Source organism: Homo sapiens, chromosome 16 (genome assembly GCF_000001405.40).
Source record: "Homo sapiens chromosome 16, GRCh38.p14 Primary Assembly".
In the NCBI taxonomy this organism is placed as follows: domain Eukaryota; kingdom Metazoa; phylum Chordata; class Mammalia; order Primates; family Hominidae; genus Homo; species Homo sapiens.
The window spans coordinates 30,497,254-30,523,948 of record NC_000016.10 but is presented as its reverse complement, the minus strand read 5'-3'; the positions used below and the strand labels follow the sequence as shown (position 1 = coordinate 30,523,948).

The following is a 26,695-nucleotide window of genomic DNA, read 5'->3' as shown; positions in this document are numbered from 1 at the left end:
CAGTAGTAGCCTAGGGCCTTATCCGGGAAGTGCTTTGCTGTTGCTGCTGTTAGAAAGCGGGTCTTGCTGTGTTGCAGCAGGCCACCGCACCTGGCTGGAAGTGCTATTTGTTTCTTTTTTTTTTTTTCTTTTTTTTGAGACGGAGTCTTACGCTGTCACCCAGGCTGGAGTGCAATGGTGTGGTCTCGACTCACCGCAACCTCTGCCTCCTGGGTTCAAGTGATTCTCCTGCCTCAGCCTCCCAAGTATCTGGGATTACAGGCGCCCGACACCACACCTGGCTAATTTTCACCATGTTGGCCAGGCTGGTCTCGAACTCCTGACCTCACGTGATCTGCCTGCCTCAGCCTCCCAGAGTGCTGGGATTAGAGGTGTGAGCCACTGCGCCTGGCCTGTTTTTCTTTTTTTTTAATTTTGAAGGCAGTATCTTGCTCTGTGGCCCAGGCTGGATTGCAGTGATGCGACCATCGCTCACTGCAGCCTTGACCTCCTGTGCTCACGTGATCCTTCTGTCTCAGCCTCCTGAGTAGCTGGGACTACAGGTACGTGCAACCAGGCTCAAATAAGTTTTTATATTTTAATTTTTTGTAGAGACAGGGTTTGCTATGTTGCCCAGGTTGGTCTCAAACTCCTGGCCTCAAAGGATCCTCCTGCCTTGGGTTTCCAAAGTGCTGAGAATACAGTTGTGAGCCACAGAGCCCAGCCAGAAATGTTCACTTGAGTAGGGCTGCAATATTGCACCAGCACAAAACCACCACAAAACTGGACAGAATTTCACATTTATTGGATAAATACATGCAGGCACTGTGCTTGGCACTGGGGCTCCAAGTTAGCAGACGTGGTTCCCACCTTGAGCTCAGTCTTTCTGTGGGGGCCACTGCACAGGCGTGATGGGTCCTGGGAGAGGGTGTGGAGCTAGGGCAGGGCAGAGCCTGAGAAGACAGCCTCCAAGGGTGGGGATGTCACGGGCCCGTGCCCGCTTTTTATTTTTATTTTTTCCTTGAGACGGAGTCTCGCTGTGTTGCCCAGGCTGGAGTGCAATGGCGCAATCTTGGCTCACTGCAACCTCCACCTCCCAGGTTCAAGCAATTCTCCTACCTCAACCTCCTGAGTAGCTGGGACTACAGGTGTGTGCCACCACGCCTGGATTTTGTATTTTTAGTAGAGATGGGGTTTCGCCAGGCTGGCCTCTAACTCCTGACCTCAGGTGATCCACCCTCCTTGGCCTCCCAAAGTGCTGGGATTACAGGCGTGAACCACCGCGCCCAGCCCAGCCCCTCTTTTTCTGTATCTTCCCACTGGCTCTGTCATTAATTCAGTGAAATTATGTCAAGCACCTACTAGATGTCCCACGCCCTGACATATCATGAGGCATCATCCCAAGGTGAACAAGACAAGTATAGCCTTTACCCTCACAGTTCACTGAGAGATAGCTGCTAAGTACGTCAATCATTAAACAGGGAAAAAACATCCAGGCTGCCGGATGAAGAAACATGACGTGTGCTTTGAGGGAGTAGTGCAGGCTGGTGGAAGTGTGAAAGATGTGAGGACCCAACCAAGTGTGACGTGAGCTGGGATCTGCTGGTCAAGGAAGGAGGGGTGGCGAGATGGAAGGTTCAGGCAGAGGGAGCTGTCTGGGTGAATGCAGGAAGACAGGAAGGAGCCTGGCCTGGGAGAAAGGCTGGTGTCACCAGAGCTTCAACAGGGAGGCATCACGGCTCTAGAAGAGGCTGGGGAAGGCCACGAGGGTCTCATTTTGCAGGGTGCTGGAAGGCATGCCAAGGAATTTGGTCTTTGGCCAAGAACAAGGCGTGTGCCACAGTCACGTAGTGACACAGGTCACATTTGCTTTCTGCCAGCAGAAGAGACTGGACTCCAGTGCAGGGGAGTGTGCAAGGACAGGTTCTGGGGGGTGGAGGCATCTGTGGACATCCCAGGGCAGGGGTGAGGGCCAGAACATCCCTAGGTCCTGAGACTACAGTTTCTCCACATTTAGATCAGACATTCTCTTCCAAGGAAGGAAACCAAGAGAGGCTGGTGAACCGTCTGGTAATGACAAGCCCTCACTTTTGCAGCCCTCTTGGCTGGTCCCTCAGCAGGTCTTCCCTATGAGCCTGCAAAGGAGACAGGCAGGAATGAGTTCCATGTTCGAGATAGGGAAACTGAGGGCCAGGGAGAGGCAGTGACTCGCCCGAGGGCACACGGCAGAATGCAGGCAGAGGCAGAGTGGCCCTGGGCATCCTGAGTCCAGTTCTGGGCACTCTGCACCTCACAGGCCTGGACTCAGTCCTTGCCACCACCACTCTCAGAGTCCTTCTCATGGAGGGGCTTCAGGCAGCCGGGATCCCCAGCCTCTTGCCCAGATGCCAGCTGCTCAGAGTCTTCTGCAGGGATTCCATTCGGGACACCTCTGCCAGCCTCCATCTTCTCCTTCAGGTTCCGTTTGAAGAAACCAACCTGTACAAAGACAAAATTTGAACGAGCAAAGAATTCACTGAGCACTTTGGCCCCAAGAAAATGTGAGAACACTTTTTTTTTTTTTGAGATGGAGTCTCACTGTGTTGCCCAGGCTGGAGTGCAGTGGTGCGATCTCGGCTCACTGCAACCTCTGCCTCCCAGACTTAAGCAATTCTCTTGCCTCAGCCTCCTCAGTAGCTGGGATTACAGGCATCTGCCACCACGCCCGGCTAATTTTTGTATTTTTAGTAGAGACAGGGTTTCACCATGTTGGCCAGGCTGGTCTTGAACTCCTGACCTCAAGTGATCTGCCCTCCTTGGCCTCCCAAAGTGCTGGGATTACAGGCATGAGTCCCCGAGCCCAGCGAGAACACTTTATTTTATTTTATTTATTTTATTTTATTTTTGAGATGGAGTTTTGCTCTTGTTGCCCAGGCTGGAGTGCAATGGCACCATCTTGGCTCACCGCAAGCTCCGCCTCCCAGGTTCAAGAAATTCTCCTGCCTCAGCCTCCTGAGCAGCTGGGATTACAGGCATGCGCCACCATGCCCAGCTAATTTTGTATTTCTAGTAGAGACAGGGTTTCTCCATGCTGGTCAGGCTGGTCTCGAACTCGCGACCTCAGGTGATCCACCTGCCTCTGCCTCCCAAAGTGCTCGGATTACAGGTGTGAGCCACCGTACCCGGCCTTCATCTGTAATGTCTACTCAGCCTTCAAATCCCACCTCAAATGCCACCTCTCCTGGGAGGCCTGCCAGGCCCTCACAGCCTAAGTGAGGCTCCTGGGTTCTAGGCCCCAGGCCACACAGGCCCTTTGCAGCCCTCATTCTGCTTGCTTCTGCCTGTGTCCTCTCTTAGACTGTGAGCGCCACAATGGCAGGGAGCATGTTTGTGGCATGTGCCTCTGTGTCCCTGTGCCTGGGACAGTGCCCAGCAGCCAAAAGGACCTCCACATTTGGCATACTTCCTTTTCCTCTCCCAGGACGCCTCGTCCTGGCTCTGCCAGGGATGGGCTGAATGACCGTGGAAAAGTCTCTCTTGCTGTTTGTGTGTGTGTGAGACAAGGTCTTGCTCTGTCACCCAGGCTGGAGCGCAGTGGCATCATCATGGCTCACTGCAGCCTTGACCTCCTGAGCTCAAGGGATCCTCCCACCTCAACCTCCCGAGTAGCTGGGACTACAGTTGGGTAGCATCACGTCCCCCTAATTTTTAAAATTTTTTGTAGAGGCGGATGCTTTCCATGTTGCCCAGGCGGGTCTTGAACTCCCAGGCTCACGTGATCCACCTGCCTCGGCCTCCAAAGTGCTGGGATTACAGGTATGAGCCACTGCACCTGGCCCTTGCTTGTTCTTTGGACCTCAGTAGCCTTCTCTGTTGAAGGAGGGAGTAGGCTGAGGCCCCCTGGCTCTGAGGCCCCCTGGCTCTTATGCCCTCTGGCTTGGTATTCTCCTCCCTGGCTCCCACCAGATCCCCTTCCCCAGCCTGGCTGTCTCAGCAATGCCTGTGACCCCCGGAGGCACCCACCTTGTACAGCACTATGAAAATGAGCAGCAGCAGCAGCAGCCCCCCGATGCCGCTCAGCACGTAGAGGTAGAGCATCTGCTTCTCATACACCACGTCAACCTTCATGACAACCTGGGAGCAGGGGGAGGGGAGTGCCGGAAAATGCCTTTTCCACCCCTGAAAGTCCCTGTGAACCTGGTTCCATTCCCCATCTCCTCCTATCCGGACTGCATCACCCGCCTGGAGTCTCCAGCTGCAGACCCTCTCCCTTTAACACGTCACCTATTGCAGTCGCTGCCATGAGTTGGCCAACACACACCTTAGGCAGCCCTAGGCCTTCAATGGCTTCCCCGGAATCGCACGCAGCTCAGCATTCAAAGCCGTCCAGAATCCAGCTTTTGCTTACCTGTTAGATGCAGCTTCCCTCCTCCCCTCTGCCTGTTAGCCACACTGAACTTCCTGCTCTTCAAACCTGCCCTGCCAACACTCACCACAGAGGCCCCTGGCCTTGCCACTGCCTCTGCTTAGAGCGCTCTTTCTTCACTGTCTGACTTGGCTTGGTAACTCCTTTGCTAAGCTGCCATCAGATTGATTTTTTTTTTTTTTGAGATAAGGTCTCACTGTGTTGCCCAGGCTGGAGTGTAGTGGCATAATCATAGCTCACTGCAGCCTTGAACTCCTGTGCTCAAACGATCCTCCCATCTCAGCCTCCCGAGGCACTGAGTACAGGCGTGAACCACCACGCCTGCCTCTGACAGATCCTTTTGAGATGAAGTCTCACTCTGTCGCCCAGGTTGGAGTGCAATGGTGGGATCTCAGCTCACTGCCACCTCTGCCTCCCAGGTTCAAGTGATTCTCTCACCTCAGCCTCCCGAACAGCTGGGATTACAGGCGCCCACCATCATGCCCGGCTAATTTTTGTATTTTTGTAGAGATGGGGTTTCACCATGTTGGCCAGGCTGGTCTTGAACTCCTCACTTCATGTGATCTGCCTACCTTGACCTCCCAAAGTGCTAGGATTACAGGTGTGAGCTACTGCGCCCGGCCTCGATTGAACTTTACTCGACACATAAGTCTACTACATCTCAGGCAACTCTGGGGTTGTGTGCCCACCAAGGGGAGAAGAAGCTTCTCCCAGGCTGATGGCTCTGGCAGTGGGAAGTTCTGACTCGCACAGAGCCCAGGAGCTCTCCCACATCTAGGTCTGCCCTGGGGCTCCTGGGCTCCCTCTGTTGCCTGTTCCTGGGGCTTCCAAGGAGGTGGAGATACCTGGGCCAGGGAGGCGTTGCTGCCATAGAGGTGGAAATGCTTGCTGCTGTTGAAGGAGATGGAGAGGGAGCTGCAGAGGCTGAACATGGAAGAGGCCTGTGGGAGCGGGGAAAGGCGTCAGAACCCGGGAGAACGAGGACAGAACCCACTGGCTTTTGCCCCCACCACAACACAGTGGGGAGGGGCAGAGAAGGGGTTCCAGGGGGGTGCACCCATCTCTACACAACTCTCTATTGTGGCATTCTTTTCTTTCTATTTTTTTTTTTTTTTTGAGATGGAGTCTTGCTCTGTCACCCAGGCTGGAGTGCAGTGGTGCCATCTTGGCTCACTGCAACCTCTGCCTCCCGGGTTTAAGGGATTCTCATGCCTCAGCCTCTCAAGTAGCTGGGATTACAGGCATGTGCCACCACGCCCGGCTAAAGTTTTGTATTTTTAGTACAGACAGGGTTTCACCATGTTGGCCAGGCTGGTCTAGAACTCCCGACCTCAAGTGATCCACCCACCTAAGCCTCCCGAAGTGCTAGGATTATAGGCTTGAGCCCCGCCCCAGCCTCTACTGTGGCACCCTAATATGTCGCTCCCCATTGTTGTAAGGAAAGCTTTTCTATAAAGAACACACAGGAACTATCCATAGGCCCATGGAAACAGCATTGCAAATATCACAGAAATCATTGTTCTCTTTCACCTGTGACTGTGTAAATGGGATTTTTCATCAAGATGGAAAACAAAAATGGAGGCAGACTATCTGGTGGGAGCCCACCCACAACGGCCCCAGGCATTGGGGCCCCCACAGCAGCTCCACATCTCTTAGGAGCGGGGACTACCTCGATCTCTCCCACCAGCTCCAGAGTCCCGATCACTTGGACGAGGATCTCCTGCCTGAAGACAACAGGGCAGCGGAACAGGGCTCCGGGGAGACAAGGCTGACAAGGATGAGGAAAGCGGGGTCAGGGCGGCTTCATTCCGACCCGTGTACCGCCCAGCCCCACCGTCTCTCAGCTCACACGCCCATACCTCAGCTGCATCCGGGAGCCTCTCCAGATCCTCATAGTGGCAGGGCACGGGAGGCTCCTAGGAACAAGCGGCAGGTCTTCAGTTAGAGCCTCCCCAACCCAGATAAGACACTGGCATCCCAGCTTTCCCCTGCCCTGGCCCTGGCCCTGGGTGAGTTCAGACATCTCTGAGTCCAGCAGGACCTGAATTCATCCATCCTTACTCTCCATACACCCAGCCTTGCCCCCTTGATTTTTTTTTCTTTGTTAGAGACAGGGTCTTGTTCTGTCACCGAGGCTGGAGTGCAGTGGTGCCATCATAGCTCACTGCAGCCTCAAACTCCTAGGTTCAAGTGATCCTCCCGCCTCTGCCTCCTGAGTAGCTGAGACCACGGGCACGGGCCACCATGCATGCCTGGATAATTTTAAAATTTGTTTGTAGAGACTGGAGTTGTGCTATGTTGCCCATGCTGGTCTCAAAATCCTGGCCTCAATGGATTCTCCCACTTCAGCCTCCCAAAGTGCTGGGATTTGGGAGGCAGAGCCACCGCACCTGGCCAAGCCCTGCCCTCTGTACCCTCAAATGCACTCACCCCCAAGACCTGAGGAGGGTAGACCCTCCCTCTACAGGCAGCACTCACCATCTGCACGCTCCACTGGTGTGTGATGGGCCCCTCGCTGGGAGGCTGTGGCACCCCAACCACAGCCTCCAGGGTGGGTATGTTGTGGTCGTGGATGGAAGGCTGGATCCTCACCTGGCACAGAGGACAAGGGATGCAGAGCCCTGAATGCCAGCCACCCCAGCTGCCCCCCAGACCCTGTGTGCCCTTGCACGCCTCTTCCAGTCCTCATTGGCTGAGTCCCCAGGGCCCTTGTCGGTTAGGCAGTGTCCAGTGACTGGGCATGGCCAGCTTCCGTCCTCAGGGCCTTGCAGTGTGGCTTCCATGCTCTTCCAGCTTTCTCCGCCCAGCACACTCTCACACACCCTGCAAGGGCCTGCTCTAATATTATCTCTGAAGGCTTCGCTGACTCCCCAAGGACAGGGCAGCTCCCCCTCCTGGGCTCCCACAGTGTGCTCTGCGTCCCCAGCAGGACGGCAAAGGATCTGCTTGGATGTCTGCATCTCCACTAGACCATGAACTCCCTGAGGACAGGAGCCATTCTTACTCCACCTCCAATCCCCTACTGCTTGACACAGTGCCTAGTGTGGTGGCTCACACCTGTAATCCCAGCACTTTGGGAGGCTGAGGTGGGCAGATCACTTGAGGTCAGGAGTTTGAGACCAGCCTGACCAAGATGGTGAAACCCCGTCTCTACTAAAAATACAAAAATTAGCCAGGTGTGGTGGCACAATCCTACAGTGCTGGGTACTCTGGAGGCTGAGGCAGGAGAATTACTTAAACCCAGGAGGTGAAGGTTGCAGTGAGCCGAGATCATGCCACTGCACTCCAACCTGGGCGACAGAGTGAGACTCCGTCTCAAAAAAAAAAAAAAATTTCTGAGCACCTTTTATTAAAAAAAGAACTACCTGTGTTAAGGCTGGGAGACTCAGATATGTGTAAGAAAGTGACACAGAAGTGGCACTAACAATGTCTCAGGAAGCAGGGAAATGTATCAAATTAGAAGGATTCTATCATTTATTCATTCAACGAACATTTGTGGACACTTGAAATACCAGTTAAATTAAAAAGGCCAAATGTCAGGGGCAGTATTTGAATTTGACTGTGAAAGATGGACAGGATTTTTTTTTTTTTTTTAGACAGAATATCACTCTGTCACCCAGGCTGGAGTGCGATGGCACGATCACAGCTCGCTGCAACCTTCACCTTCCAGGTTCAAGCGATTCTCCTGCCTCAGCCTCCCCAGTAGCTGGGACTACAGGCACACACCACCACACCTAGCTAATTTTTGTATTTTTAGTAGAGATGGGGTTTCATCATGTTGGCCAGGCTGGTCTTGAACTCCTGACCTCAGGTGATCTGCCCACCTGGGCCTCCCAAAGTGCTGGGGTTACAGGTGTGAGCCACCGCGCCTGACCAGATGGACAGGATTTTAACAGATGAAGGTGGGAGAGGGCATCCAAGAAGAGACATGTGGGGAGCCAGGATGGCACCAGGTGAGAGGGATGTGGCTGGAAGGAGGGTGCCTGGGAAGGAGAACAGGAGCTGAGGCTGGAAAGGAAGCCCAAGATCACACTATGGGGCCTGGAAGGCTTGAGAGTGAGGAGTTGGAGCAGCATCAAGGAGGCAGTGGGAAGTCACAGAAGGTGGCAGAGGAAGAGAGTGGCTCCAGGGAGGTCCATCCCCTGCAGGCATGAGCTGGAAAGAGGCTGGGAGAGGCGGGTCATGGCCCATGTTGGGAGCCTCTCTCAATAGTCCAGTTGCAAGAAGGTGAGGAATTGGGTCTGGGCGGTAGCAGAAAAAGGACACAGACAACCAGACTCCAGCAGGCAGTGGGACAAAGCAGGAGGAAGGAGAAATTCACCCAGACACGTTAAGTTTTCCTTGAGAAAGAGATGGTGCTTTCAAAAGATTCCACGCAAGCCAGAGGAGATGCTGGCTTAGGGGAAGACAGCAAATTTGGTTTAGAATATGTTGAGACCAGGCCAGGCACAGTGGCTCACGCCTGTAATCTCAGCACTTTGGGAGGCCGAGGTGGGCGGATCACCTGAGGTCAGGAGTTTGAGACCAGCCTGGCCAACATGATGAAACCCTCTCTCTACTAAAAATACAAACATTAGCCTGGCGTGGTGGTGGGCGCCTGTAATCTCAGCTACTCAGAAGGCTGAAGCAGGAGAATTGCTTGAATCCAGGAGGCGGAGGTTGCAGTGAGCTGAGATTACGCCACTGCACTCCAACCTGGGTGACAGAGCAAGACTCTACCTCAAAAAAAAAAAAAAAAAGAAAAGAAAAAAGAAAAGGTAAAAATAAAGCACCAGGCACAGAACCTGGGTTTGGAGACTGGGCAGGATGCCAGCACCTAGCTAAATACCTAACTTAGAATAGGCCAGGTGTGGTGGCTCATGCCTGTAGTCCTAGTACTTTGGGAGGCTGAGGTGGGTAGATCACTTGAAGTCAGGAGTTCCAGACCAGCCTGGCCTACAGGGCAAAACTCCGCCTCTACAAAAAATACAAAAGTTAGCTGGGCATAGGGCCGGGTGCGGTGGCTCATGCCTGTAATCCCAGCACTTTGAGAGGCCACGAGGGGGGAAGATCACGAGGTCAGGAGTTCAAGACCAGCCTGGCCAACATGGTAAAACCCCATCTCTACTAAAAATACAAAAATTAGCCGGGCATGGTGGCACATGCCTGTAATCCCAGCTACTTGGGAGGCTGAGGTAGGAGAATGGCTTGAACTCAGGAGGCGGAGGTTGCAGTGAGCTGAGACCGTGCCACTGCACTCCAGCCTGGGTGACAGAGTGAGACTCCGTCTCAAAAAAAAAAAAAAAAATTAGCTGGGCATGGTGGTGGATGCCTGTAATCTCAGCTACTTGGGAGGCTGAGACAGGAGAATTGCTTGAACTTGGGAGGCAGAGTTTGCAGTGAGCCGAGATTGCACCACTGCACTCAAGCCTGGGTAACAAACAGAGCAAAGAATAGTAGCTCATTCAGTGTTGTTATGAAAAAGCAGGTTCTCTCTCAGCATCCTCCTTGCTCTCAAGTCCTGTGATTCTTGAAATAATGCATCCAGTGGCAGAAAGGAGTTAGCATATGCTGCTGCTGGAAGCCTGTAAGTGGAGGCTGTGACACTCTAGAGAAAGGATTATTGAACAGTTGGATGGCTAGGATGAGTACTGTGTCTACTTGGTGCCTGCATCCTCAGTCCCCGGGATAAAGAATGAATGTGTGACCTATAAGGACCTTCCACATTGGGATTCATACCTGGTACATGTGCTTGACTTGGTGGATCTTGGGGCCTTTGGGGGTGAAACTGACATAGAGTGTGGAGTCTTCTTGGCTGCGGAGAGAGAAGGGCAGCGATGGAAGAACGAAGTGACAGCAACCCGGGCTCCAGGAAGCTTCTGAGCGCCCAGCCACTGTGCTAGGAACGGCACAGATACCATCTCATTCAATCCCTACCACAACCTGCTCTTTCCCAGAAACTAAGGCTCCTGGACAGGGCCAGCCTCTTGTCCAAAGCTTCTCCACAGTGGAGAGACAGGACTGGAGCCCAGGGAAGTGTGTCCAGTGGAGGCTATGTCCTCCCCACTGCGCGCCACCTCACCAGTGTCTCCACTGTCCTCTGGGCCCTGCTCATCTCCTAGATAATCGTATCCACTGCTGATGCCCCTCGCACCCATCCTTCCAACACACACTGCTGGGTGACCTTCCCAACATCACTCTCTAGTCCTGCCACTCACCTGCTCAGCATTGGCCAACGGCCCCCTACTGCGAGGGAGGGTCAGGTCCAAAGCCTCCCATGTCCAGGCAGTCTCCTCACTGCTCCCCTGCACACACCTGCCCTTGGCTAATCCTGCCCAATCCCTGTCCCCCAGGTATGCCCCACTGCTTCCTCCCTCCTTGCCTTTGTCTGGGCCATGGTCTCTGATGAGGACATCTAGGTTCCTTTTTAGCTCTTCCCCTAATGGCCTCATCCTCCAGACCCCAGTCCAAGCCGCACTTTCTCCACGAACTCTTCCATTTCTCCCCCAACCCACACTCATCTTTCCTGGCTCTAATTTCATGTCAGTATCATACTGTGTGGCATTGATGTTCAAAAGCACTGGAGGCCAGGCGCGGTGGCTTACGCCTGTAATCCCAGCACTTCAGGAGGCTGAGGCAGGTAGATCACCTGAGTTCAGGAGTTTAAGACCTGCCTGGCCAACATGGCGAAACCCTGTCTCTACTAAGAATACAAAAATTAGCTGGGCATGGTGGCAGGCACCTGTAGTCCCAGCTACTCGGGAGGCTGAGGCAGGAGAATTGCTTGAACCCTGGAGGAGGAGGTTGCAGTGAGCCGAGATTGTGCAACTGCACTCCAGCCTGGGCAACAGAGCGAGACTCTGTCTCTTAAAAAATAAAAAAAATTTAAAAAGCACTAGAGACCTGAGCTCAGACACTGTCCCCGTCCTTCTCTGTCCTTCTGTAACTGAGCCAACTGGAAAAAGCCACTCGATTTTGAGTTTCCTTTTTTTTTTTTTTCACACAGGGTCTCACTCTGTCACTCAGGCTGGAGGGCAGTGGCATGATCTCGGCTCACTGCAACCTCCTCCACCCGGGTTCAAGCAATTGTCCTGCCTCAGCCTCCTGAGTAGCTGGGATTATAGGTGCCTGCCACAACGCCGAGCTAATTTTTGTATTTTTAGTAGAGACAAGGTTTCACCATGTTGGCCAGGCTGGTCTTGAACTACTGACCTCAAGTGATCCACCCACCTTGGCCTCCCAAATTACTAGGATTACAGGTGTGAGCCACCACACCTGGCCAAGTTTCCTTTTCTATAAGCGAGAAGACCTGTAACAGGTTTTTTTGAAATAGCAAAAAACGGACATAACTCCCTCCATTTTTGTTGAAGAGGCCTTTACCCATTCCTGCCCATAGGCTAGGATAATTTTAGAGCACTGAGATAACATGCAAAAACAGCTATCATGTAGTTTTTAAAACTAAGTCTGGCATTAAAGGGGACGTTTGTAAACAACTAACTATGTTTTGTTAAAGATTTATAGAAGCACTGTGACCTGACCAAGGACCAAGAAGTTCCCAACCTCCTTGTATCCTCTCTGGTGCCCAGATGTCTGTGCTAAGTTACCTCTTGATCTTAACCCCTTTCTCTTCCCCCTACCCTTAACATTACAGATGGTCCTTTAGAACACTAGTTCACTGTCTTCTCAATTGCCTGGCTTTCCAGATAAACCTGCCTTTCCTCCCACCAACTCTTGCTTCTTAAGTCTGGCTTTCAAGTAACAAGCAGCCAGACCAGAGTTCAGTTACAAACCCAACTAGCGATCCCCATGGTTCCTTCCTGCTACTGTGTTCTGAGAGTCACTGACTCTGTGTGTGCATGAGTTTGGGCTCTCCCACTTGACTGTAAGCTCCCTGAGGGCAAGGGGTATTGTGATAACTTTTCTCCTATCTCTCCTGGCATTATCGGCCCCCAGGAGGGGAGAGAATCTAGGGTGACTGAAACAGTCAGGAGCTTGGCTGGGCCTTTGGAGTCAGACAGGCTGAAGCTCAGACCCTGGCTTTAGTACTTCCAGCTATTGGACCTTGGGTAAGTGCCGGCCTTCTCTGAGCCTCAGCTTGTTCATTGGTAAAATGGAGAGCGGCACAGCTGCCTCACAGAGGTGCTGAGGGCTCCAGGCAATGTCAGCAACTGCGCAGTGCAGCTGGCCCTCAGTCTGACATAAAATTAGTGTTCAATGAGCTTTTTCTTCCATCAGTAAATGCTAATCCTTCCCTGAGCTCTTCCATGGCCCTCACATTTTGGAATGTTGAAAACTTTTGGGGTTGTGGCTGGAATCAGTTCTAATTACCCCAAGGGGCTCTAAGAAAGGAAGGAGGTTCAGAAGGAGAGCCCCAGGAGCAAAGTCGGGGCCCTGGGTTGGGAGGCTGCGGTGGGAGGAGAGGGTTGGCTGTCTGCTGGGAAGAACTTACTCCTGGATGAGGATGTTGATGGGGTACAGGATGGGGATGATGGTAGTGGCTGAGTTGTCCTCCAGGAGGTCTGAGTCCTCATTGTTACTGCATTGGGGCAAGGAAGAGGCCAGTGTTAGGAGAAGGGCTTGGCCAGGTCTGAGACCATGGCAGGGATGTGGGCGGGGCCTGCTCACCAGGTCACATTGGCGTGCAATTCAACCGAGTCCCCCCAGGAGCTGTTTACCAGTGTATTAAACATCATCTGCAGAGCAACCTGGCAGGAAAGGAGAGGGCAATGGAAATGGAAGGGTCATGAGGAGCAGCCTCATGGCCCCCACATCTAATCACCATCATCTCAGGGACCCCTTATCAAGTGCTCACTGCACCCCAAGCACTGAGCTAGGATTCTACCCATTGCAAAGATGAGGCAACCAAGGCTCCAGACGGTTAAGTTATGTCTATAAGGTCACAAAATGAATAACCCAATCCCAGCTTTGCCTGATTCTAAAGTCCAGGCTCTCAAACATGACACAGAACAGATTCACATACATTTCTCTTAGGTAGGGGCAAGGTACACCCTTCTTGACAATCACCTGCTCCCTTCTCCTGAGCCAAGAGCTCCCTGCCCTCCACCAGCTCAGGGCCCCTAGGCTGCTTGGTCCCTGGAGACTTGAAGCACTCACCGAGTGGCCTGCTTTGAAGATGGGAGAGCTCACATTGCAAGATAATGCCCTGGACAGAAGCCTGGACTCTTCAGGAAGCTCCTCGCAGCTCACAGGTATCTGGCTATGGGGCTGGGAGTGAAAGGAGGAAACAAGTTTGTTAATGAGCAAGGCCAAGTTTCCCCCAGAGGCCACCAGCCCTCCTGGCCTACCTCCCCCAGGGGCTCTGTCCCTGTCATGGAACCTTCTCAGCGGGAAAGGGCCCAAGAATCAGGGCTGCAGACAGAGGCTTAGTACAAAATAGTCACTGGAAGGCTGGGTAAGGTAGCTCACACTTGAAATCCCAGCACTCAGGGAGGCTGAGGTGGGAGGATTACTTAAGGCCAGGAGTTCGAGATCAGCCTGGGCAAGAGTGAGACCCCATCTCTATTAAAAAAAATTTTTTTTTTTTTTAAATATAGGATCTTACTCTGTTGCCCAGGCTAGAGTGCAATGGTGCGATCTCGGGTCACTGCAACCTCTGACTCGCAGGCTCAAGCGATCCTCCTGCCTCAGCCTCCCGAGTAGCTGGGACTACAGGGATGTGCCACCATGTCCAGCTAATTTTTGTATTTTTAGTAGAGATGGAGCCTGTGTATGTCACTCAGGCTGCTCTTGAACTCCTGGGCTCAAGAGATCTGCCTGCCTCAGCCTACCAATGTGCTGGGATTATAAGTGTAAGCCTCTGTACCTGGCCTACAAAAAATTTTTTAAAATGAGCTGAGCATAGTGGGGCGTGCCTGTTGTCCCAGCTATTAGGCAGGAGAATCACTTGAGCCCAGGAGTTTGAGGCTGCAGTGGGCCATGCTTATGCCACTATACTTTAGCCTGGGCAACAGAGTGAGACCTTATCTCAAAAATAAAAGTTGGGTGTAGGGGGGTAATTGCAACACTATTTATAATACTGAAAAACTGGAAGTGCTCAAACAGGTCAAAGAGATAACAACGGCTCAGTAAAGTGTGGTACAATCAAAGAAGAGACTATCGTGAAGTTTTTAAAATGCCACTACCTCTATACATTCAGTAACCATTTAAAAAATGAGCCTGATCCTGGGCTAAGCATTATTAAACCATTCATCTTCATCCCAATTTTGTAAAGGACAGATTTCAGTCTCAGACTGGGAAGGAAACAGATAAGGAAATACAGGTTCAGGGAGGCTAAGGGACTTTCCCAAGGTGTCATAACTGGGTAACAGTAGGGATCCGTAAGAACTTGAACACAGAACTGTTTGACTCCAGTTATTTTCTCTCTCTCTCTCTCTTTTTTTTTTTTTTTTGAGATGGAGTCTTGCTGTTGTCACCCAGGCTAGAGTGCAGTAGAGTGATCTTGGCTCACTGAACCTCCACCTCCTGGGTTCAAGTGATTCTCCTGCCTCAGCCTCCCAAGCAGCTGGGATTACAGGCACATGCTACCACACCCAGCTAATTTTTGTATTTTTAGTAGAGATGGGGTTTCACCATGTTGCCCCGTCTGGTTTTGAACTCATGACCTCAGATGATCTGCCCACCTCAGCCTCCCAAAGTACTGGGATTACAGGCGTGAACCGCCACACCCAGCCCAGTTTTTTTTTTGTTTTTTGTTTTTTGTTTTTCCTGAGACAAGGTCTCGCTCTGTCGCCCAAGCTGGAGGGCAATGTTGTAATCATAGCTCACTGCAGCCTCAAACTCCTGGACTCCAGCGATCCACCCACCTCAGCCTCCTGAGTAGCAGGACTACAGGCACACCCCACCACACCTGGCTAATTATTTAATTTTGTGTAGAGACAGAGTATTGTTCTGTTGCCCAGGCTAGAGTGCATTGGCATGATCATAGCTCACAGCGGCCTCGAACTCTCGGGCTTAAGCACTTCTCCACCTCAGCCCCCAAGGTAGCTGGAATTGCAGGTGCGCACCACCACATCCAGCAAAGAAACATTTAATGTTGCTGTATAAGAATAATTCGGTTGGGTGCAGTGGCTCACGCCTGTAATCCCAGCACTTTGGGAGGCCAAGGCGGGTAGATCACCTGAGGACAGGAGTTCAAGACCAGCCTGGCCAACATGGTGAAACCCCATCTCTACTAAAAATATAAAAATTAGCTGGGTGTGGTGGCAGGCGCCTGTATCCCAGCTACTCGGGAGGCTGAGGCAGGAGAATCACTTGAACCTGGGAGGCGGAGGTTGCAGTGAGCCGAGATTGCGCCATTGCACTTTAGCCTGGGGGACAAGAGCAAGACTTCGTCTCAAAAAAAAAAAAAAAAAAAAATAGGCCGGGCGTGGTGGCCCACGCCTGTAATCCCAGCACTGTGGGAGGCTGAGGCGGGTGGATCATGAGGTCAGGAGATCGAGACCATCCTGGCTAACACAGTGAAACCCCGTCTCTACTAAAAATACAAAAAATTAGCTGGGCGTGGTGGTGGGCGCCTGTAGTCCCGGCTACTCGGGAGGCTGAGGCAGGAGAATGGCGTGAACCCGGGAGGTGGAGTTTGCAGTGAGCCGAGATCGCGCCACTGCACTCCAGCCTGGGTGACAGAGCGAGACCCCGTCTCAGAAAATAAATAAATAAATAAATTTAAAGAAAATAAAAAAATAAAAAGAATAATTCAAGTGTTCATTGACAGATAAATAGGTAAAATATGGTCTATGCATAAAATGGAATATTATTCAACCTTAAAAAGGAAGGAAATTTGGCCGGGCACACTTGTTCACACCTGTAATCCTAGCACTTTGGGAGGCTGAGGTAGGCAGATCGCTTGAGCTCAGAAGTTTGAGACTAGCCTGGGGAACATAGTGAGACCCTCTCTCTATTTAAATTTTTTTTTTTTTGAGATGGAGTCTTGCTCTATCACCCAGGCTGGAGTGCAGTGGCACAATCTTGACTCACAGTAGCCTCTGCCTTACAGATTCAAACGATTCTCCTGCCTCAGCCTCCCTAGTAGCTGGGATTACAGCCGCACACCACCTCGCCTGGATAATTTTTGTGGGTTTTTTTTTTGTTTTTTTTTTTGTTTTTTTTTTGAGACGGAGTTTCGCTGTCGCCCAGGTTGGAGTGCAGTGGCGCGATCTCGGCTCGCTGCAGGCTCCGCCCCCTGGGGTTCATGCCATTCTCCTGCCTCAGCCTCCCGAGTAGCTGGGACTACAGGCGCCCGCCACCTCGCCCGGCTAATTTTTTGTATTTTTAGTAGAGACGGGGTTTCACCGTGTTAGCCAGGATGGTCTCGATCTCCTGACCTCGTGATCCGCCCGCCTCGGCCTCCCAAGGTGCTGGGATTACAGGCGTGAGCCACCACGCCCGGCCCATTTTTGTATTTTTTTAGTAGAGACAGGGTTTCACCATGTTGGCCAGGCTGGTCTCGAGCTCCCGACCTCAGGTGATCTGCCCGCCTTGGCCTCCCAAAGTGTTGGGATTACAGTTGTGAGCCACCGCACCCAGCCTGAGAGGGTAAACCTGGTACCTCGGATCATACAGCTCGAGGCTGGGAACCCAGATATGACCCTAAGACCCCTGTCCACCCGCAGCTGCCCATGTGTTCAGGCTGTCCTGGCTGCCTGGGGCTCAAAGAAGGGGGCAGTGTCTGCCGAACAGATGCCCGCAGGCAGGCGCTGTCCTCTCACCCACCTTCAGCATCTCCACCTTGCGGAAGGAGAGTCCCGGGGGGAAGTGCAGGTCCAGCTGGACCCAGTAAGCATCTTCTTCCAAGTTACTCAGGCTCAGCTCCACAGAGAGGCTGGCAAAAGCAGTTAGACGCAGGGCTCTGGATCTGTGGGGGATGATCAGGGAAAGATGGAGGAGGGAGGATCAGGGTGGGGAATATCAGAACTGAGGGATCTGGTGGGCCAGAAAGAAATAAATCAAAACCAATCATCTTTTATGCTCAGTCTTTTTTTTTTTTTTTTTTTTTTTTTTTTTTTTTTTTGAGATGGAGTCTCACTCTGTCACCCAGGCTGGAGTGCAGTGGCGCGATCTTGGCTCACTGCAAGCTCCGCCTCCCGGGTTCACGCCATTCTCCTGCCTCAACCTCCCGAGTAGCTGGGACTACGGGCGCCCACCACCATGCCCGGCTAATTTTTTTTTTTTGTATTTTAAGTAGAGACGGGGTTTCACTGTGTTAGCCAGGATGGTCTCAATCTCCTGACCTCGTGATCCGCCCGCCTCGGCCTCCCAAAGTGCTGGGATTACAGGCCACCGCCCCCGGCTTTTTTTTTTTTTTTTATTGAGACAGAATCTCACTCTGTAGCCCAGACTGGAGTGCAATGGCACAGTCTCGGCTTACTGCAACCTCCACCTCCAGAATTCAAGCAATTCTCCTGCCTCAGCCTCCCAAATAGCTGGGATTACAGGCACGTGCCACCATGCCTGGCTAAGTTTTGTATTTTCAGTAGAGACAGGGTTTCACCATGTTGGCCAGGCTGGCCTCGAGCTCCTGACCTCAGGTGATCTGCCCGCCTTGGCCTCCCAAAGTGCTGGGATTATAGGCGTGAGCCACCGCGCCAGGCCATGCTCAGACTTTCAGTTTTACAATTCTTGCAATCTCATTTACTGATGACTGATAGGAGTTCCATGAGGGATTTGCTTTTTATTTTATTTGCTTTTTATTTTTTAGAGATAGAGTCTTGCTCTGTCACCCAGGCTGGGGTGCAGTGGTGCTTACTGCAGCCTCAAACTCCTGGCTCAAGCCATCCTCTGCCTCAATCTCCCAAGTAGCTGGGAATACAGGCATGAGCCACCGTGCCCAGCTAATTTTTAAATTTTTTTTTAGTGACAGGGTCTTGCTATGTTTCCCATAGCTGGTCTTGAACTCTTGGCCTTAACGAATCTTCCCCCTTTGGTTGGCCTCCTGAAGTGCTGGGATTATAGGCATGAGCCCCTGAGTTCAGCCTCAAATTTCTCAGAAAAGGAAACTAAGGCCCAAGAGAGGGAAGTGGTGTCTGCAAATGACATATCTGGTGAGTGGAGTGGGGGGTCTTAAAACAGAGTGGATGGGAGGCTGGAGGGTGGGAGGCCTTACTGACCTTGCAGGAGAGAAGGACACTCTCAAGTTTGCCTCACACTTCTTGTCCTCCCCACAGTTCTTCTCAAAAGGGATCTGAAACACCAAGAAGAAAGGAGTAACAGGCTCAGATCAGGAGGGACTTGTTCCCAGGCCTCTCTGCCTGCCCCTTCTCCCCTCTTACCTCCCAGGTTTCCGAGTGCAGGGAGGGTCTCAGGATGGGCGGTATGTCCTTGCCCTGCTGAGCGAGGGGTAGTGGGCAGGATGGAGAGAGGAGAGATTAACTGAGGCAGCAGACCTCATGAAGGAGAGCTGGAGGGGCAGGGGCTTAGCTCAACTGGGCTGGCTGTGGTTGGCCCTGCCCAGGAGCCAGCTGCCTTTCCAGGGCTGCCCCACTCTGCTGCCTCAGCCTACTGCCATTTGTGCAGTCTTACTCTGCTGGCAGCTCTTTTTTTTTTTTTTTTTTAAGACTGTCTTACTCTGTTGCCCAGGCTGGAGTGCAGTGGCACAATCTCTGCTCACTGCAACCTCTGCCTCCTGGGTTCAAGCGATTCTTATGCCTCAGCCTCCTGAGTAGCTGGGATTACAGGCATCTACCACCACGCCTGGCTAATTTTTTAAAAATATTTTTAGTAGAGATGGGTTTTCGCCATGTTGGCACACTGGTCTCGAACTCCTGGTCTCAAGCAATCCACCCCCCTCAGCCTTCCAAAGTGCTGGGATTACAGGTGTGAGCCACAACACCCGGCCGGCTCTTTTTTTTTTTTTTCTTCTTTAGAGACAGGGTTTCGTGCTGTTGCCTAGGCTGGAGGGCAGTGGTGCAATCATAGCTCAATAGCTCACTGCAGCCTCAACCCTCTGGCTCAAGTGATCCTCCCTGCTCAGCCTCCCAAGTAGCTGGGACTACAGGGGCGCACCATCACAATAACTAATTTTTTATGTTTTGTAGAAAGGGAGTCCCACTATGTTGCCCAGGCTGGTCTCAAACTCCTGGCCTCAAGTGCACCATCACACCCGACTAATCTTTGTATTTTTAGTAGAGATGGGGTTTCACCATGTTGGCCAGGCTGGTCCTGAACCCCTGACCTTAAGTGATCCACCCACTTCAGCCTCCCAAAGTGCTGGGATTATAGGAGTGTGCTGCCCGGCCATGGGCGGCTCTTCTTGCCAAATGGATTTCTCTGATAAACTCCCCACCATCCCTAGCCATCTCTTCTTACCGCCCTTTGGTCCCTCGGTGTCCCTTCCTCCTCCCAAAGAGAGAAATTCAGGGAAACATTGATGGGGGAGATGAGGTCTTGAACACATACCTGAGGGTGATAAGAATACAGCCTATGTCATGAATCTAACTTTTACCGCACTTCCGATTAGATGTATACCTTGTCAGCATTTTACAAGTGATGAAATTCTGGTAGTTCTTTGTCTAAGACCCTACCAGTATTGAAAATCCATTGACTACATAGCAGGTGTGTACAGCACACCCAGGGGGCTTCTCAGCACAGTTATCATCCCTGAGCCCCGGTTCCCCAGCAGACATCACTAATCAATCCCAGCACTTTTCCCCCACTGTGTCCTAACTGAAGCCCCTGAATTTTGACCTAGGCAGCCATTATCAAAGTTTGCTTAAGAAAATTTCAGAATAACTAGAATATCCTAGTTCTAGAATTTTGTTCCTTGAGAATAGGGCTGGGTCTTAGTCATTTGCTATTACCAATGCCTGACACTGGCATTTTGTAGGTACTCAAATTGTTTTTCACCTGAAGGTTCTACTAGCCCTAAGAGGTAGGTATTATTACCCCAACATTTAAAATAAGGAAAATGAGCTCTCCCTTCCTTCCTTTTCTTTCTTCTCTTTTCCTTCCTTCTCTCCTTCTTTCTTTTCTTTTTTTCTTTCTTCTTTTCCCTCCCTCCCTCCTTGCCTGCCTCCCTCCCTCCCTCCCTTCCTTCCTTCCTCCGTTGTCCTTCCTTCCTTCCCTCCTTTCTTTCTCTTTCTCTTTCATCCTCCCTCCTTCTGTCCCCCTCTAGAAAAGAAAAAAAAAAAAAGAAAATGAAAACTAAAAAGGTGGCACAGTTGTCCTAAGAGCTTGGAGTGACAGTCAAGATTTGAACCCAAATCTGTCCAAATCCAAAGTCCAGGATCTTTCCACCATGTCACACTGCTTTCTTTTCTGGCAAATTTATGTTTAAAATGTCTAAATCTTATAAGAGGTGGAATGGGAGTAGGCAGAGGGGCACTGAGTAGAGGTTTGAATGAAATAGAGGGTGAGTCGATAATTGTTGAAACTGGGTGATGAGGACCTGGGGATTCATTAAACTATTTTTTTTCTAGTTTTGTGTGATTCATATTCTCATAATAAAAAGTTTAAAACAGGCTGGGTGCAGTGGCTTACACCTGTAATCCCAGCACTTTGGGATGCCGAGGTGGGTGGATCACCTGAGGTCAGGAGTTTGAGACCAGCCTGGCCAACATGGTGAAAACCCATCTCTATCACAAATACAAAAATTAGCCAGGCATGGTGGTGTTCACCTGTAATCCCAGCTACTTGGTAGGATGTGGTGGGAGAATTACTTGAACCCAGGAGGGCAGAGGCTGCAGTGGGCCCAGATCATAACAATGCATTCTAGCCTGGGCAACACAGTGAGACTCCATCTCAAAAAAAAAAAAAAGTTTAAAACAAACTTCAAATTCTTATGTCCCAATCCTATACTGTCTTATATGAATTTTTTTTTTTTTTTGAGATGGAGTTTCACTATCATTGCCCAGGCTGGAATGCAATGGCACAATCTCAGCTCACTGCAACCTCCGCCTCCTGGGTTCAAATGATTCTCCTGCCTCAGCCTCCTGAGTAGCTGGGATTACAGGCGCCTGCCACCACACCTGGCTAATTTTTTGCATTTTTAGTAGAGATGGGTTTTCACCATGTTGACCAGGCTGGTCCTGAACTCCTGACCTCAAGTGATCCGCCCACCTCAGTCTCCCAAAGTGCTGGGATTACTGGCATGAGCCACCATGCCTGGCCTTTTATGAAATATTTAAGAGAACATAACAATTTGATATCAATCCTTTTTTTTTTTTTTTTTTTTTTTTGAGATGGAGTCTTGCTCTGTCGCCCAGGCTGGAGTGCAGGGGCGCGATCTCGGCTCACTGCAAGCTCCGCCTCCCGGGTTCATGCCATTCTCCTGCCTCAGCCTCCCAAGTAGCTGGGACTACAGGCCCCCACCACCACGCCCAGCTAATTTTTTGTATTTTTAGTAGAGACGGGGTTTCACCGTGTTAGCCAGGATGGTCTCAATCTCCTCACCTCGTGATCCGCCCACCTTGGCCTCCCAAAGTGCTGGGATTAGAGGCGTGAGCCACCGCGCCCGGCCATATTAATCCCATTTTTATACAGGATTGCTTATAAGCAACTGAATCTGGGTATTTCAACAGTTGTTCAAACTTTATTGTTTTGGAGACAGAGTCTCATTCTGTTGCCCAGGCTGGAGTGCAGTGGCACAATCACAGCTCATTGCAACCTCCACCTCCTGGGTTCAAGCAATCCTCCTGCTTCAGCCTCCCAGGTAGCTGGGACTACAGGTGCGCTCCACCAAGGCTGGCTAATTTTTTGGTGTTTTTTGTAGAGAAGGGGTCTCGCTATGTTGCCCAGGCTGGTGTTGAACTCCTAAGCTCAAGCAATCCACCTACTTCAGCCTCTCAAAGTGCTGGCATGAGCCACCGTGCCTGGCCTGTTTTAACTTTTTTAAAAACTTTTTTTTTCCATGTACCATACATGAGACTTAATTTAAAAACTTTAAAAAATCCCTAAGTTTTTCTGGGATGCATGATATGTACCTGGCAAATAACAACATACCATGATGATTGAATATTCTGTAAAAATTAAATATTTTAATTTTTTTTTTTTTTTTTGAGATGGAGTTTCACTCTTGTTGCTCAGGCTGGAGTGCAATGGCACGATCTCGGCTCACTGCAACCTCCATCTCCTGGGTTCAAGTGATTTTCCTGCCGCAGCCTCCCAAGTAGCTGGAATTACAGGCATGGGCCACCACGCCCAGCTAATTTTGTACATTTTTAGTAGAGATGGGGTTTCTCCATGTTGGCCAGGCTGGTCTTGGACTGCCAATCTCAGGTGATCTGCCCACCTCGGCATCCCAAAGTGCTGGGATTACAGGTATGAACCACCGTGCCCAGCCAAACATTTTAATATTTCATAATTAAAAATTATGAAAGCTGTGTAGCAGCATTAATATATAATGTATGAAAAGAGTAGGGAAAAATAGTAACTACATTGCCATTGTAATCATGTTAAAAATGCCCATAAATATATTAAAAAGTAGAAGCTGCTGGGCACGGTGGCTCATGCCCGTAATCCCAGCACTTTTGGAGGCCAAGGTAAGAGGATTACTTGATGCCAAGGGTTTTAGACCAGCCTGGGCAACACAGCAAGACCTTGTCTCTACAAAAACTATTTTTTTTTTTTTTGAGATGGAGTTTCACTCTTGTTGCCCAGGCTGGAGTGCAATGGCACGATCTTGGCTCACTGCAACCTCTGCCTCCTGGGTTCAAGCAATTCTCCTGCCTCAGCCTCCCAAGTAGCTGGGATCACAGGCATGTGCCAACACACGCAGCTAATTTTGTATTTTTAGTAGAGATGGGGTTTCACCATGTTGGCCAGGCTGGTCTCGAACTCCTGACCTCAGGTGATCCACCCACCTTGGCCTCCCAAAGTGCTGAGCCACCGCGCTTGGCCTACAAAAACATTTTTAAAAATTATCCAGATGTGGTGGTGCATGCCTGTAGTCCTAGCTACTCGGGAGGCTGAGGTGGGAGGATCATTTGAGCCCAGAAGTTGGAGGCTACAGTGAGCCATGATTGCATCACTCCACTCCAGCCTGGACGATAGAGCAAGGCCCTGTCTCTAAAAAAATTTTTTTAATAAAAAATTAAAAAAATTAAAAACCTAGAAGCAGCCAGGCACAGTGGTGTGCACTTGTAGTCCCTGCTACTCAGGAAGCTGAGGCAAGAGAACCTCTTGAGGCCAGAAGTTAGAGTCCAGCCTGGGCAACAAAGTAAGACCCCCATCTCTAAAAATATAAAATATGGCCGGGGGCAGTGGCTCATGCCTGCAATCCCAGCACTTTGGGAGGCCGAGGTAGGAGGATCACCTGAGGTCAGGAGTTCGAGACCAGCCTGGCCAACATGGTGAAACCCCAACTCTACTAAAAATATAAAAATTAGTTGGGCATGGTGGCATGCACCTGTAATCCCAGCTACTCGGGAGGCTGAGGCAGGAGAATCGCTTGAACCCGGGAGGCAGAGGCTGTAGTGAGCCGAGATCATGCCACTGCACTCCAGCCTGGGTGATAGAGCGAGACTCTGTCTCAAATAAATAAATAAATAAATAAATAAATAAATAAATAAATAAATAATATAAAATAGGCCAGGAGCGATGGCTCATGCCTGTAATCCCAGCACTTTGGGAGGCCAATGCAGGCAGATCACCAGAGGTCAGGAGTTCGAGACCAGCCTGACTAACATGGTGAAACCCTATCTCTCCCAAAAATACAAAAATTAGCTAGGCATAGTGGCAGGTGCCTGTAATCCCAGGTACTCGGGAGACTGAGGCAGGAGAATTGCTTGAACCCAGGAGGTGGAGGTGGCCATGAGCCGAGATCGTGCTGTAGTAAGTGAGACCGTGCCACTGCACTACAGCCTGGGTGACAGAGCGAGACTCTGTGTCAAAAAAAAAAAAATATATATATATATATATATACATATATATATATACACATATATATACATATATATACACATATATATATAATTTAAAAAAAACACTAGAAGAAAATATGCTAAGGGTGTTATTACTACCATTGCACAGGAGAGGAAGTGACAGCACAGAGGGATGGAAGTGACGTGTCACCCACTGGACAGTGACGGAGCTGAGCCTGCCCCTGCAGGTAGCTCATCCCAGAGCATTGGCGCTGGCTCCCTTACCGGGAAATGAAATGAGAAGTCAGTGCATGACATGCTGGTGGTGACAGCTATATTCCTTCTGAGTTCATGTCTCCCTCCTGGGAACAACCCCCGTCTTCTGGTCCGGTGGCCATCCAGCTGCAGAGTGTAAGTGAGATTGGCAACCAGGCGGCCTGGGCAGGGCGGAAAAGGCAAGAGTTAAATGGTGGGGGATCCCAGGCCATAAGCCTGGATTTGGGGCGGCAGCTGCCCTGGGAGCAGGAGGAGAGCTCTGACCTTGGAACTGGGGGATGAGAGACTTGATCTGGAAACAGATTGTGATATTAACTCCTTCTTTCATCTTGTTACTGGTTGAATAGGAGCACTCCACTTCATGCACTGGGATCTCAGCTGGAGAGAAGGACATCAGGGTGACCATATCCACCACGGGCCGGGAGCTGCAGGGCAGAAGGCAACCAACTCTCTCCCTCCAACCCAACTGCACGTCCCCCCTCAGATGTGGGGCTCCCGCCAGCAAAGCCAGAGAACTCTCCTTCCCTAAAGCAGACCTCAACATGTCACTGTCTCCTCTTAAGGAAAATAATAATGATACTTTTTATTTATTTATTTTGAGAGAGGGTCTCACCCTGTTGCCCAGGCTGGAGTGCAGTGGCATGATAACAGCTCACTACAGCCTCGGCCTCCCAGGCTCTAGTAATCCTCCCACCTCAGCCTCCCAAGGATCTGGGACCACAGGCATGTGCCACCACACCTGGCTAACTTTAAATAAATTTTTGTAGAGAAGGGACCTTCCTATGTTGTCCAGGGTGGTCTTGAACTCCTGAGCTCAAGCAATCCTCCCGGCTTGGGCTCCCAAAGTGCTGGGATTATAGGCATGAGCCACCATGCCTGGCCAATAATGGTGATAACTAATTAGGGCTCCCAGTTCATTCTAGCAGCCTCTGACCCATTTTCCATGAAGAAGAGAAAGCTCTTAGGAAGAGAAATCATACTGAGTTACTTTCATGCTTATGTTTAAGCCTTCAGTGATGCTTGCATGAATTTTATTATGCTTCATAATAAAGTTGCAGCTTTTGTTGTTGTTAGAGCCTCGCTTTGTTGCTCAGGCTGGAGTGCAGTGGTGCAGTCATAGCTCACTGCATCCTCACACTCCTGGCCTCCAGCGATCCTCTTGTCTCAGACTCCTGTGTAGCTGGGATTACGGGAGTGAGCCCCAGTGCCTGGCTCCTATTTTTTTTTTTTTTTTTGAGATCCTCCTCTTGGGCTCAAGCAATTCTCCTGCCTCAGCCTCCCGAGTAGCTGGGATTACAGGCGCATGCCACCATGCCCAGCTAATTTTTGTATTTTTAGTAGAGATGGGGTTTCAACAGGTTGGCCAGGCTGGTCTTGAACTCCTGACTAAGCCCCCCGTGCCTCCCATTGAAGATGTATACAGCCCCCTGCTCCTCCAGAGGGGCCCCCACAACCACGTCCACCTGACCTCAAATGATCCACCCACCTCGGCCTCCCAAAGTGCTGGATTACAGGCATGAGTCATTGCATCCGGCCTATTTATTATTTTTTTGTGGTAGGATCTCACTCTGTAGCTCAGGCTGGAGTACAGTGGCATGATCACAGCTCACTGCAACCTCGACCTCCCAGGCTCAAGTCATCCTCCTGCCTTAGCCTCCCAAGTAGCTGGGCCTACAGTCATGCACCACCATACCTGGCCAATTAAAAAAAAAAAAGAAAAGGGCTGGGCACGGTGGCTCACTCTGTAATCCTAGCACTTTGGGAGGCCGAGACGGGCGGATCCCTTGAGGTCAGGAGTTCAAAACCAGCCTGGCCAACATGGCGAAACCCCGTCTCTACTAAAAATACAAAAAAATTAGCAGGGCATGGTGGTGCATGCCTGTGATCCCAGCTACTTGGGAGGCTGATGCAGGAGAATCGCTTGAACCCAGGAGGTGGAGGTTACAGTGAGCCAAGATCGCACCACTGCACTCTGGCCTGGGCAACAGTGCAAGACTCTCTCTCAAAAGAAAAAAAAAAAGTACAGATGGTGTCCCACTGTGTTGCCCAGGCTGGTCTCAAACTCTTGAGCTCAAGTAATCTTCCTGCCACAGCCTCTCAAAGTGCTGGGATTACCCACATGAGCCACCACACCCTGTTAATCTTTTTTTTTTTTTGAGGCGGAGTCTCACTCTGTCACCCAGGCTGGAGTGCAGGGGCGCGATCTCGGCTCACTGCAAGCTCCGCCTCCTGGGTTCACGCCATT

At 50.9% G+C, this 26,695-nt stretch overlaps 1 protein-coding gene, 1 long non-coding RNA gene and 1 other non-coding gene across 9 annotated transcripts in view; 1 reads left to right on the top strand and 2 right to left on the bottom strand.

Moving 5' to 3' along the window:
- Nucleotides 1-763: 763 nt before the first annotated feature.
- Nucleotides 764-26,695, bottom strand: part of ITGAL (integrin subunit alpha L) — a 50,444-nt gene continuing 24,512 nt past the window's right edge. For 3 of the 7 annotated variants that reach the window (NM_002209.3, XM_006721044.2, XM_047434072.1), the window contains 16 exons: nucleotides 24,715-24,875; nucleotides 24,460-24,611; nucleotides 19,685-19,774; nucleotides 18,649-18,705; nucleotides 18,487-18,560; nucleotides 17,093-17,234; nucleotides 13,478-13,588; nucleotides 12,989-13,068; nucleotides 12,813-12,899; nucleotides 10,103-10,178; nucleotides 6,863-6,976; nucleotides 6,244-6,300; nucleotides 6,054-6,152; nucleotides 5,230-5,325; nucleotides 3,982-4,092; nucleotides 764-2,457 (listed from right to left, as the gene is read on the bottom strand). In NM_002209.3, the coding sequence (NP_002200.2) occupies nucleotides 2,284-2,457; nucleotides 3,982-4,092; nucleotides 5,230-5,325; nucleotides 6,054-6,152; nucleotides 6,244-6,300; nucleotides 6,863-6,976; nucleotides 10,103-10,178; nucleotides 12,813-12,899; nucleotides 12,989-13,068; nucleotides 13,478-13,588; nucleotides 17,093-17,234; nucleotides 18,487-18,560; nucleotides 18,649-18,705; nucleotides 19,685-19,774; nucleotides 24,460-24,611; nucleotides 24,715-24,875 (1,681 nt within the window). In that variant the 3' untranslated portion in view covers nucleotides 764-2,283. Of the gene's footprint in view, nucleotides 2,458-3,981; nucleotides 4,093-5,229; nucleotides 5,326-6,053; nucleotides 6,153-6,243; nucleotides 6,301-6,862; nucleotides 6,977-10,102; nucleotides 10,179-12,812; nucleotides 12,900-12,988; nucleotides 13,069-13,477; nucleotides 13,589-17,092; nucleotides 17,235-18,486; nucleotides 18,561-18,648; nucleotides 18,706-19,684; nucleotides 19,775-24,459; nucleotides 24,612-24,714; nucleotides 24,876-26,695 lie in introns of those variants that run through there. The other 4 variants (XM_005255313.1, NM_001114380.2, XM_047434073.1 and 1 more) reach the window with 2 other exon arrangements.
- On the bottom strand, nucleotides 19,948-20,030 carry MIR4518 (microRNA 4518). The gene has a single exon (NR_039743.1). It is a non-coding gene; the product is annotated as a microRNA 4518 (primary transcript).
- On the top strand, nucleotides 24,395-25,519 carry ITGAL-AS1 (ITGAL antisense RNA 1). The gene is made up of 2 exons (NR_186415.1): nucleotides 24,395-24,585; nucleotides 24,798-25,519. It is a non-coding gene; the product is annotated as an ITGAL antisense RNA 1 (long non-coding RNA).